Genomic DNA, 12,892 nt, shown 5'->3' with positions numbered 1-12,892 from the left:
TTAAACCTTTCCTTTGATAAGGCAGTTTTGAAAAACTGTTTTTGTAGACTTTACAAGTGGATATTAGGACAGCTTTGAGTATTTCATTGGAAACGGGAATAACTTCACATAGAAACTAGAGAGAAGCATTCTCAGAAACTTCTTTGTGATGCTTGCATTCAACTCACTGAGTTGAACATTCCTTTTCATAGAGCAGTTTGGAAACACAATTTTTGTAGTATATGGAAGTGGAAACTTGGAGCGCTTTGAGGCCTATGGTGAGAAAGGAAATATCTTCCATAAAAACTAGACAGAAGAATTCTCAGAAACTTCTTTGTGATGTGTGTACTCAACTCACAGAGTTGAACTTTTCTTTTGATAGAGCAGTTTTGAAACACACTTTTTGTAGAATCTGCAAGTGGATATATGGATAGCTTTGAGGATTTTGTTGGAAACAGGAATATCTTCACATAAAAACAAGACAGAAGCATTCTCAGAAACCTCTTTGTGATGTGTGTACTCAACTCACAGAGTTTAACATTTCTTTTGATACACCAGTTTGAAACAGTCTTTTTGTAGTATCTACAAGTGGATATTTGGATAGCTTGGCAGCTTTCATTGGAAACGGGAATATCTTCACATAAAAACTAGACAGAAGCATTCTCAGAAACTTCTTTTTGGTGCTTGCAATCAACTCAGTGAGTTGAATATTCCTTTTCACAGAGCAGTTTTAAGACACTCTTTTTGTCGAATCTGCAAATGGAAACTCGGAGGGCGTTGAGGACTATTGTGAAAAAGGAAATATCTTCCCATAAAAACTAGACAGAAGAATTCTCAGAATCTTCCTTGTGATGTGTGTACTGAACTCACAGAGTTGAACCTTTCCTTTGATACAGCAGTTTTGAAACACTCTTTTTGTAGAATCTGCAAGTGGATATTTGGATAGCTTTGAGGTTTTCGTTAGAAACGGGAATATCTTCAGATAAAATCTAGACAGAAGCATTATCAGAAACATCTTTGTGATGTTTGCATTCAAGTCACAAAGTTGAACATTCGCTTTCATAGAGCAGGTTTGAAACACTCTTTTTGTAGTATCTGCAACTGGACATTTGGAGCGCTTTGTGGCCTATGGTGAAAAAGGAAATATCTTCCCATAAAAACTAGACAGAAGCATTCTCAGAAACTTGTTTGTGATGTGTGTACTCAACTGACAGAGTTGAACCTTTCTTTTGATAGAGCAGTTTTGAAACACTCTTTTTGTAGAATCTGCAAGTGGATATTTGGATAGCTTTGAGGATTTCGTTGGAAACGGGAATATCTTCATATAAAATCTAGACAGAAGCATTCTCAGAAACATCTCTGTGATGTTTGCATTCAAGTCACAGAGTTGAACATTCCCTTTCATAGAGCAGGTTTGAAACACTCTTTTTGTAGTATCTGGAAGTGCACATTTGGAGCGCATTGAGGCCTAAGGTGAAAAAGGAAATATCTTCCCATAAAAACTAGACAGAAGCATTCTCAGAAACTTGTTTAGGATGTGTGTACTCAACTAACAGAGTTGAAACTTTCTTTTGATAGAGCAAAACAGTAAATTGAAGTTTAAAATAATTGTAACAATTGCATCTCATATATCAGGTGAGATTTCATAGTTTGGTTCAAGTAGTTTTCAAGTGACAAATTTTCAAGTTTTTAAGTTTTCAAGAGTTGTGCAAGTTCATCAGCCAGAAATCAAGCAAAAGGCTAGATAAGTAGCAGCAGGTGCAGGATTCTTGATATTGAAACTTTTAGGACTTTTCTCCTTCAGGATTCCAATGTTGTACATTTTATTTCCAGTATAACCCCTATGCATGGGATAAAGTAGTTTCACATGTTTGATTTTTCTAATTAGTTATTTGGGTTTCAAAATGTCCAGTTTATCAAAAAATCTTGTGCTGTGTACTGGGGACCATCTACTATAGCCTGATCATTGAATTTTTCAAGAACCTAAGGGGTTCCCTAAGTCCAAGGAAGACAATCAGTGTCTACAAGTCAGGAGGAGAAGGGGAAAGGGCATTCTAATCATTGCTTTGTTTTCATTGATTCTGTTGCTGCTTTCTTGCCATTGAAACTACTCTTGCAGTCTGGTAATGATTAACCTTTGCCACCAGGATGCCCTTTCTGTTTGAGATCCCTCAATCTTCATGTTGATCCATAAAAAGGCTTCAAAGTTACAACTATTTTTTTTAGTTCCCAGACTAACAAAAATAATCTAGCTTTTTGTCTTGACTACCAACCACTCTGGATTTTTTTTTTTTTTTTTTTTTTTTTGAGATGGAGTCTCGCCCTGTCGCCCAGGCTAGAGTGCAGTGGCGTGATCTTGGCTCACATAACCTCCACCTCCCAGGTTCAAGCAATTCTCTTATCTCAGCCTCCGAAGTATCTGGGACTATAGGCACACACCACCATGCCCGGCTAATTTTTGTATTTTCAGTAGAGATGGGGTTTCACCATGTTGGTCATGCTGCTCTTGAACTCCTGACCTCAGGTGATCCATCTGCCTTGGCCTCCCAAAGTGCTAGGATTACAGGCATGAGCCACCATGCCCGGCCCACTCTGGATTTAAGGACAGTTCTTCCTTCAATCAGCAGCCAAAGAGTCCTGATTCCTGATTCTAATTAAGAAGTTTAACTTGGTATTCTATTTCTGATGGAAGGATGGCTGAAAGAAGGGAGACTCAAACAACAGATGAAGGCAAAATACTCTGTACTGAATTTTCAATGTAATCTTAAATTCTATGTTTAATTGAGATGACCCAAATTCTTTTTTTTTTTTTTTTTGATACGCAGTCTCGCTCTGTTGCCCAGGCTAAAGTGCAGTGGCATGATCTCGGCTCACTGCAACCTCCACCTCCCGGGTTCACACCATTCTCCTGCCTCAGCCTCCCAAGTAGCAGGGACTACAGGCACCCGCCACCACACCTGGCTAACTTTTTGTATTTTTAGTGGAGACAGAGATGACCCAAATTCTTAACTGCCTCATAAATACTGTTAATATATTGAAAGTTTTGCCCTAGGCTTTTATTAAAGTCAACTATATAGAAAAAGTTTCTCCTATCTTGAGATGTATTATTAAAGACATCATCCCCAATAATATTCCATATTCTCTGTTTAGGAACCCCAATTGTTTTCAAATTCAAGAATTCAGAGAAATCTACTCGTTACAAAAGAGTAGAATGGATAATGGGCACCACATCCTGAAGTGTATTTTAATAAAAATTCATGTAAGATGGTTCAAAATTTCATTAACTACTTTATATAAAAAGAAATGCCTGGGAGAATTCTGTTTCTAGCAGAGTGGCAGACTGATGCCTTGAACAACCCTCCTATTACAAAACTGAATACTCCACATGAAAACAAATCTTTTCAAATGCATTGTTAAGCTGTGAAGAGAATAACGAAAGTTCTAAGAAACCAAAATCTAAATGAAAACACAAGTCCAGGCAGGCACTGAAAACCTAAAAAAAAAAAAAAAAACTGAAGAGGCCAATTGTTGGCAAGCATGTGGAACAGCAGGAACTCTTCAAGCTGCTGCTGGTGGCGGAGGCCAAGCCACTGTGCTCCCAGAACACAACACAGAAGCCTCCACACTGAAGCAGAGCACAGGTGCCCTGGAGTCTCCACCCCACCCAGGGATCCTCCAGCAGAAGTGGGTGTGCCCCTGCATACCTGCAAGTCCCATATGCAGACCTACTGTTCAGGGCTGTGGGATAACAGCCAAAAATAGGAAATCATTTTACTCATCAATGGAAAAATGGTGACACAGTCATATAATGGAACTCAACAATGACGATAAATCAATGTCTGCCATAGACAAGAACATGGATGTGTTCTGTAATACTGAACCAAAGAAGCCAGGCTAAATAGAATGTGCTGTATTTTATAGAAGTCAAAACCAGGCAGAACAAATCTACATCAGGAACTGGGAAAGTAGCTATTTTGTGGGTTGGGGCAGCAGTGCCTGGGAGAGGCCACAGGTCAAGGCTACTGCTTGGTCCAGGGCGTGGCAGCCTGGTGTGCTACAGTTCATCTAGATGCACACTTATGATTCGGGCACTCTTCTGTATGTACATTAACATTTCAATAAAAAGCTTATTAAAACATTAAAGCTTTCAGAAAAATCCACATTGCTTCAGTAGAAATTAGCACATTAACGTTTAAAAAATACATGTATATGGTGGGGGAAAAAAACAGTTCAAAAGAGTATCCAGTGAAAAGTTTAAGAGGGAGTGATGCCAGCTAAGGGCTGATCAATAGCCCCTTGCACTCATCCCCTGACAAAGACAGCCAAAGCAGCAAACAGCTATATTTTGATGAAAGTCACTAAAGGAGAGCCCCAGAGTGCATCAAGGAGTAGCAGAAATCCAGTAGAGCCCGGAAAACAGGACGGTCACATAAAGGAGGGAAGGAAACATCTGGCCCCCACCACCCATTCCCCCAGAGGGATCAGCCTGAAGCAGAGGGGATGTCTCCCTGCAGGAATAAGGAAGCAAGAGGGGCCCAGTAGCCCCAGCACTCCCCTCAGAGAAGGAACTGACATTGTGCCCCACCCCCATGGACCAGCTGCTGCTGCAACGTGCCCTCCTGGACCTGGACCACTTCGGGAGCATGTCCCACCCAGGGTGAGCAGCCACCGCACCCTTCTTCCATCCTCAGGCTTTGTTGCTCTATATCACACCCACCTAGTGGCCCACCACCCCTGAGCCGCTGTTACACTGTCTTAGGCCATTTAGTGTGGCTGTAACAGAATACTTGAGACTCGGGGTAACTTATTTTATAAAAAAGGTTTATTTGGCTCACCCTGCTTGTGTCTGAAAAGTCCGAGATCGGGCAGCACAACTGGTGAGGGTCTTGTGCTGCTTCATCTCATGGGGAAAGTGGAAGGCGAAACAGGTGTATGCAAGGGGCTCACATGGCAAGAGAGGAAACACAAGAGTCTAGGAAGCTGAACTCACTCTGATAACAATCCACTCCTGGTAACTAATCCAGTCCCATGAAAAGGCATTAATCTATTCATAAAGGATCTGCCCTGTGACTCAAATAACTCCCACTAGGCCCCACCTCCCACACCACCACATTTGAAATCAAATTTCAAATGGATGAAATTTCAAATGGCTGGTGGGAACAAATGATGTCCACATCACAGCACACACCCCACCTGCGGGGCCACGCTGCTGTGCCCCTCCCCTCCCAGCTGCCATTGCGCCCTGCCCCTTGGAGCCTGAGCTGACTTGGTGCCCTGCTTTCCAGGGAATCAGTGTCTTGGCCAGTCTAAGCAGTCACACCCCCCACTGCATGAGAGCTGAAGCACTGCCCTGCTTCACAGGGAATCAGTGTCTTGGCTGAGCTGAGCAGCCACACCTGCCAGGGATGAGCCAACATGGCACCCCCATATCCCAGGAAAACGGCATTGGCTGAACTGGGGTACCTTGCCCTTCAGGACAAACAACTGTAGAACCCTGCTTCCTTGGAACTGGACTAGCCCTGGAGAATCTGAGTTGCCCAGGCACCTGCCTCCCCAGGGAGAGAAGTAGTTGCTGTACTGGTCCCTGCCCCCGAGGGCTCAGTAGTGCTCCACCATTCTGGGGTCCTTGCTGATGCTGTGCCTGGCCTTTCAGAGACTGAGATGCTGCTGTGTCCCACCACTGCAGGGTCCAGAGTCACTATCATGTCACTCCCATGTCCAGAGTCACTCCCATCCCCTGGGAGTTTACTTCTTAAACTCTTCGCAAAAACAGAGTGAGAGGAAATAATTCCAAACACATTTTACCAGGCCAGTATCACCTTAATACCTAAGCCAAACCAAAACACACACACACACACACACACACACACACACACACACACGCACACACCGAACAAAAACTACAGGTCAACTTCTCCAATAAATTAAATACTGATGCAAACATCCTAAAAAAATTTTAGCAAATAGAATTCAACAACACATCAAAAACATTATACATCGTGTTTAAGTGGGATTTATCCCTGGCATGCAAGGCTGGTTTAAAATATGTAAATCAATCAATGTGATACATCACATTAACAAAATGAAAGATAAAATGACATGGTCAACTCAATTGATGCAGTAAAAGCATTTAACAAAGTTTAGCAACATTTCTTGATAAAACCTCTTAATAGTTTATGTATAGAAGGAAAGTTCCTCAACATAATAAACACCATTTATGAAAAACCCACAGTCTAATCATAGTTAGTGGGGAACAACTAAAGCTTTTCCACTAAGATTGAGTACAAGATAGGGATGGCCAGCCTCATCACTTTTATTCAACAGAGTACTTGCAAGAGCAATCAGATGAGAAAAAAAAGGCAACTAAATTAAAGAAGTAAAATTATCTCTATTTGCAGATGACAAGATCCTTTACGTAAAAAACTCCAAAGAGTCCACAAAAAACTGTGAGAGCTACTAAATCAATTCAGTTAAGCTGCAAGGTATAAACTCAACATATAAAAATCAGTTGCATTTCTGTATACAAATAACCTAGCTGATGAAGCAATCAAGAAAATAATCTCATTTACGATAGCATCAAAGAAAAACAAAAACTTAGGAATAAATTTAACCAAGAAGGTGAGAGATGTGTACACTTAAAAACCATAAAACATTGATGAAAGAAATTTAGACATGAACAAATGAAAAGACATCCTATGTTTATGGATCAGAAGAATTAATATTGTTAAAATGTTCACACTACCCAAAGCAAATATACAGATTTAACACAATCCTCATCAAAGTTCTGATGACATTCTTCACAGAACAGAATAAAACAATCCTGGCCAGGCACAGTGGCTCACGCCTGTAATTCCAGCACTTTGGGAGACTGCAGCGGGTGGATCATGAGGTCAGGAGTTGGAGACCAGCCCGGCCAACATAGTGAAACCCTGTCTCTACTAAAACTACAAAAATTGGCCGGGCATAGTGGCATGTGCCTGTAGTCCCAGCTACCTGGGAGGCTGAGGCAGAAGAATTGCTTGAATCCAGGAGGCAGAGGTTTTAGTGAGCCGAGATTATGCCACTGCACTCCAGCTTGGGTGACAGAGTGAGACTTCCCCTCAAAAAAAAAAAAAAAAAAAAAAAAAAAGAAAAGAAAAGAAAAAACAATCCTGAAACTCATATGGAACCACAAAAAACCCCAAACAGCCAACAGAAAACTGTGAAAGAAAAATTTGGAGGCATCACACCTCTTGATTTAAAATTGTATTACAAAGCTATAGTAATCAAAACAGTATGGTGCTGGCATAAAAACAAAAAAATAGACCAATGGAACATAACAGAGACCTTTGAAATAAATCCAAACATATACTGTCAACTAATTTTTGACAAGGGCAAACAAGACAACACAATGGTAAAAAAGATAGTATCTTCAATAATAGGATTTTCACATGCAAAAGAATAAAATTGGACCCTGATCATACACCATACACAAAAATCAACTCAAAACAGATACAAGACCAAAGACCCAAATAAGACCTGAAACCATAAAACTCCTAGAAGAAAACATAGGGGGAAAGCCTCTTGACATTGGCCTTAGCAATAATTTTTTGGATATCGCACCACAAGCCAGGCTACAAATGTAAACATAAACAAGGAGGACTGCATCAAACTAAAAAGCTTCTGCACAGCAAAGGAACAACCAACAAAATGAAAGGGGAACCTACAGACTGGAAGAAATATTTGCAAACCACATATCTGATAAAGTGTTAATATCCAAAAATCAGTAAAGAACTCTTACAACTTAAGAGCAGAAAAACAACCCAGTTGAAAAATGGGCCAAATAGGAAATGACCAATAGGAAATGGGGAGATGTACATTAAAATAATACAAAGTAGCAGACATGTAGGATGAACAAGTTAGAGATCTAGTGTACATCATGAGGGCAATAGTTAATAAAAATATATTGTCTTTGGGATTTTTGTTAAATAAGTAGATTTTAGCTGTTCCTGTCACACAAACAAAAATCTAACTATGTGAGATGGTAGCTATGTTAATTTGCTTCACTATAGTAACCAGTTTACTATCTATATGTATCCTTTAAGATCATGTTGTCAACCTCAAATATATAAAATAAAATTTATTTTAAAAAAGAAAAGTTTTCCTTCAATCCAGAAAGAACCACTATTACCATTTTTTGGTGTTCCATTCCAAAATATCCCACAAATATACAATTGTTCAATCAAATTTAACATTAGACTTTATACTTGAACATTCAAAGTATGTAAGAAATTATAGAAAAGTGTCTGTGTGACTCCCTGTCTGTAGAGCACAGGCTTCATCTCCACTAACACACACACGACCAGTACCTTATACAGAGAGTCCTTGTTTGTCTTTAGTCTGACACCATGGGTGAGCCTGAGTTGGCCCGTGGTCCACATTCCTGACCAGGTGTCTTTCTCACCCACTGGTTTCAACAAAGATGTTACTGGGTTATAGAAGGCTGGGATGGAAACAGGATACCAAGTTCACATGAAGACAATATCTGAAAAGAGGTAATTTACTTTAACGTTTTCAAAAGAAGATTCATATCCATATTGTGAAGAAACAAAGAACAAAATCTTCACTCCAAACTTCTCTACCTGGCTGCAAAGTATTTGAAGGGAAAGCTCGCTAAGGAAACTATTCTCATAGATCACAGAACTGTTACTGGGTGTGGCCAGGGGACTGCAGACACAAGGCAAATGGGCACACTGCATAAGACTGGGAGATCTAAGGCTGGAGCTGCTCAACTCTCTGGAGACCTGACTCCAGCCTCTCGTCACACTGGCTAGAAGTCAAGCATGAATGGTAACACCCTGCCCTGAACACTACTTAAGACACTCACCGCTCATCCGCAGCTTATCCTCAAAGCTATCCTGGAAAGCTCCTTCTGGAGCTCAGAGTGCTCTCTTGATCTGCCCCCTTATCCCACTGACAGTTCGAATCACAGCATCTTCAAATCTGGCCACTTCCAAGGCAGAATTAAACATTCCCTACAGGTATAGCAAGATAAAAACACACACACACACAAAATCATATACTTTATGCTTTACTTCTTACTTCAAACATACATCCGTGATTAAAGAACAAAAACAACTCAGTGAAGGGTGATAAAATAATCAAAATGTATTTGCCCCTGAAAGTGGAATTACTACCTCAAAAAGAATACAACTCTTTCATTTTCCCCAAAATAATCATGTGAGTTCATGGGCATGCTCATCACTGCTGTCTGTGTGGAAGAGAAGATCGAAGAGGGATTTACTGGACTGAATTGGCCTAGGAAGCCTTTGCTGGCATCTCTCAGACTGGACTGCAGCCCAGATCCTTTTACTCAGATGCATGCACTTAGAACATGAAAACAGTAAGATAAACGCCAGTGGTATTATTACCTTATATTGCAAGAACATTTTATGACTTCCTAACTCTGTTTTCAAAAGAAACATCCCCACTAATGAAATTGTCAATAAATGCTGCTCAAACCACCCTCCCAAAATACCGAAAAACAGTATATCCGTTTCTCTGTACCCTTGCCAAGTTGTCTGCAAATGCTTTGTCGATTTTTCTACTGAGTTAGACAAACTTGTGATTTTTTTCCCTTTCTTAACACCAATTTAAAAAGTAGGAAACAAAACCTAGTGGATAAAATGACATATTTTCAATATGAGTTCTGTGGCAGTCTCACATGGAAGTCAGGAGTAACAGCCTCAATTCCTAAATAGCTGTTTACCACTGCTTTTTTGAGCATATTTAAGTAATACAGAATATAAAGGAGCAAACAAAATATGAAGTTTATAAAAGATTTCAAACACTTTTCTAAAAATAAGAGGCCCACATTTTAGAGGTATTTCATTCCTTTTCTCAAACAATATGGACATTTATAAATATGAGAATATATAGATATACAGACCTTAATAAATGAAGTGTTCTTGAAAATTTTATATGGAAAACCAGTTAGCTTTAATTTCTTCACAATTTTTATGGATTTATCCAGATCAAGGACAACTCCTGTGGCAGCTATCCGAAAATCAGGCTAACAGGAGCCCCAAAATTTGAAAATAGGAATAATATTAGCAAGAGAAAAACTTCAATTCTATGTGACACAATAAATTACCAAAGTGAATTTTACTTACAATTAGTTAAGAAAAACAAGAGAGACCATCTGAACTTGCAACCCATTGGTTTGACAAAAGCAATCCAAAACTTTAAAGTTGGTAAGCCAAACTAACAAGGGTGACTTGAGGCCAGGCACAGTGGCTCATACCTGTAATCCCAGCACTTTGGGAGGCCAAGGCAGGTGGATCACCTGAGGTCAGAAGTTTGAAACCAGTCTGGCCAACATGGCGAAATTCCGTCTCTACTAAAAATACAAAAATTAGCTCGGCATGATGGTGCATACCTGTAATCCCAGCTACTCGGGAGGCCGAGGCAGGAGAACCGCTTAAACCCAGGAGGCAGAGGTTGCAGCGAGCCAAGATCGTGCCACTGCACTCCAGCCTGGAAGACAGAGTGTGACTCGGTCTCAAAAAAAAAAAAAAAAAAAAAGAAAGAAAAAAAAAGGCTACTTGAGTACTTTCCTGAGAGTGATTTCAGAGGAATGTAATTTTACTATAATGATTTATTTGGAACGAAATGGAAAAGAAAAATACAGTTGCAATGTTTAGGAAATTAAAATTTGGACCTCCAGGGAAGATTCCATCTGCTCATTATTCTGCTTTCTTCTCTGTTAAATGGGACCAGTAAACCCTGCCCTGCCTGACTGGTCAAATGAAAATGGAGTGAACAGACTGCTACCCCAGCACAGCTGCAGGGAGTCTTGTGTCTGGGTGGTCTCTGATGGCTCCTCATAACCTCATATAGTGCTTAGCACATGGTGAGCACTGCTTAAATACTTGCTTGGATAAATAAATGCAAAAGATGCATAAAAATAGGAAATGTACCATTATAATTCTTCCACCTCCCCTCCTCTAATCCCACACCCTACTGAAAAGGATGTACGAAGATTAAAAGCAAAGGGAAATTTACTTTATATTAATAAAAATGAGTAATTTTCAACTTAAAGTCTCATGTACATAATAACCCACATTCAGGATATATTTCTCAAACCAATCTGTAAAAGAAATCGTCCAAGATAGTTACCATTATGCCACTGACAGACTGTATTGCCAAGAAACCAGTTCCCTGTGGAGTGATAGGGTCTTAAAGGAAAAGGAAAAAAAGAAATATAGCAAACCAGAAATTTTAGATTCTAGTTTAACATACTGGATATGGACACTTAGATTTGGATATAGATGTACATATATACTCCAAACCACCTCCCCGCTCCCAGAAAAGAGAAACATCTTAGGAGTGGAATTTTATGAAAGGAAAAGCACAAAGCTAAAATAACACAGCCTGTAAAGTTTAATCTCGGCAATAGGCAAGTTATTGTAATCATATTTTACCCCAAAAGGCTGCTCCACAATGGATGTGCTGTGGCGTATACTTTAGAAGCCTTTGTCTTCCATTGTGGTCTTCGATATAATAGAGCAGGATGGTCTGAAACCTCCTCCACCCTACAGAAAATATGATTGGATCTTGGGACTTGAGGATTTTCTTATACCAGCAATGTTTCTTCAGACGCATCTGAAGGGGATGAGAGGGTAAGATGATTGATGGAGGGGAAATCCACAGAGCCTCAGGCACCAAATACGCAGCAAAGGGACCCACCTGCACGTGTCCAACATTTCCCTCACTGTTGCCCAAGCCACCCAGGATAATGGGGTAATGGGGGTCAAAGTTCTGCACAAATTCACAGGGAACATTTTCAATCTCAACGCGGACATACATCCCAGGTCGAAAACCCTCATACTGAACTCTGGCTTCATCATCTTGATCTTCAAATTCTACGTGATTCAGCTGTACATGATGGGGTGGGGGGGGGGTGGAAACCTGTATGCTGTTATTTGTAATAAACATAGGATTAACATGAACAAATGAGCAATTTCTAAGTAAAGGAACTGTGGACAGAATTATGTAGGCTTTATCCTATTAAAAATACTACACATTTGGCCGGGTACAGTGGCTCATGCCTGTAATCCAGCACTTTGGGAGGCCGAGGCGGGCAGATCACATGAGGTCAGGAGTTTGAAACCAGCCTCGCCAACATGGTGAAACCCTGTCTCTACTAAAAATACCAAAATCAGCTGGGCATGGTGGTGCGTGCCTGTAGTCCCAACTACTCAGGAGGCAGAGGTGAGAGAATCGCTTGAACCTGGGAGACGGAGGTTGCAGTGAGTCAAGATCGTGCCACTGCACTCCAGCCTGGGCAATAGAGCGAGATTCCATCTCAAAAAACAAAAAAACAAAAAAAAACCCTACACATTTTACCTCTACAGTCTGTTCAGAATATGTCCCAACCATTTTCTTCTCTCCTGCTCCAAGGGACAGCAAATGTAGATAACTGTGGAGCCCTGCGTGCTCAAACATTAGAAACATCCCCAGTCCACACTTTCTTTCCTTCCTCTCCAAATAATTCTTTCACACTTTTCCCTTGTCTTCAAACACCCACCACCACCCTCACCTTCACTCAGCTGATGGCTGTTTCCTGATTCACTCCAAAACCAAAAGAACCTCTACGGTCAACCCTATACCAGGGTTTCCTCCCATATCCAGCCTTATCAGAGCTCTGACCTGCCCCATAGAGGAGCTATGTGTGGCTATTTAAATTAAAATTAATTACAATTACATAATATTTAAAATGCAGTTCCTCAATCACACTAGTCACACTGGAAGTGGTCCGTATCAACCTGTGGCCAGTGTTACAATATTGGGAAGCACAGATGTGCATCTCCATGATCACAGAAAGTTCTACGGGCAGCTCAGGCACAGATGATTTGTCCATGCCTCTACTCAG

General features: G+C 40.5%; 1 pseudogene, besides 1 other annotated feature; it reads right to left on the bottom strand.

Annotated features, from left to right (window-relative positions):
- Window positions 961-1,825: an enhancer, noted in NCBI's record as "OCT4-NANOG-H3K27ac-H3K4me1 hESC enhancer chr9:66970692-66971556 (GRCh37/hg19 assembly coordinates)". NCBI's record gives its function as "activates a minimal SCP1, AML or CMV promoter by ChIP-STARR-seq in primed H9 embryonic stem cells {active_cell/tissue: H9 hESC(primed)}" and the evidence as "EXISTENCE:reporter gene assay evidence [ECO:0000049][PMID:30033119]".
- Window positions 8,328-11,904, bottom strand: BMS1P9 (BMS1 pseudogene 9; annotated as a pseudogene).

The sequence above is a fragment of the Homo sapiens genome, chromosome 9 (genome assembly GCF_000001405.40).
Source record: "Homo sapiens chromosome 9, GRCh38.p14 Primary Assembly".
NCBI lineage: Eukaryota > Metazoa > Chordata > Mammalia > Primates > Hominidae > Homo > Homo sapiens.
This window is presented reverse-complemented; position numbering and strand designations above follow the sequence as displayed.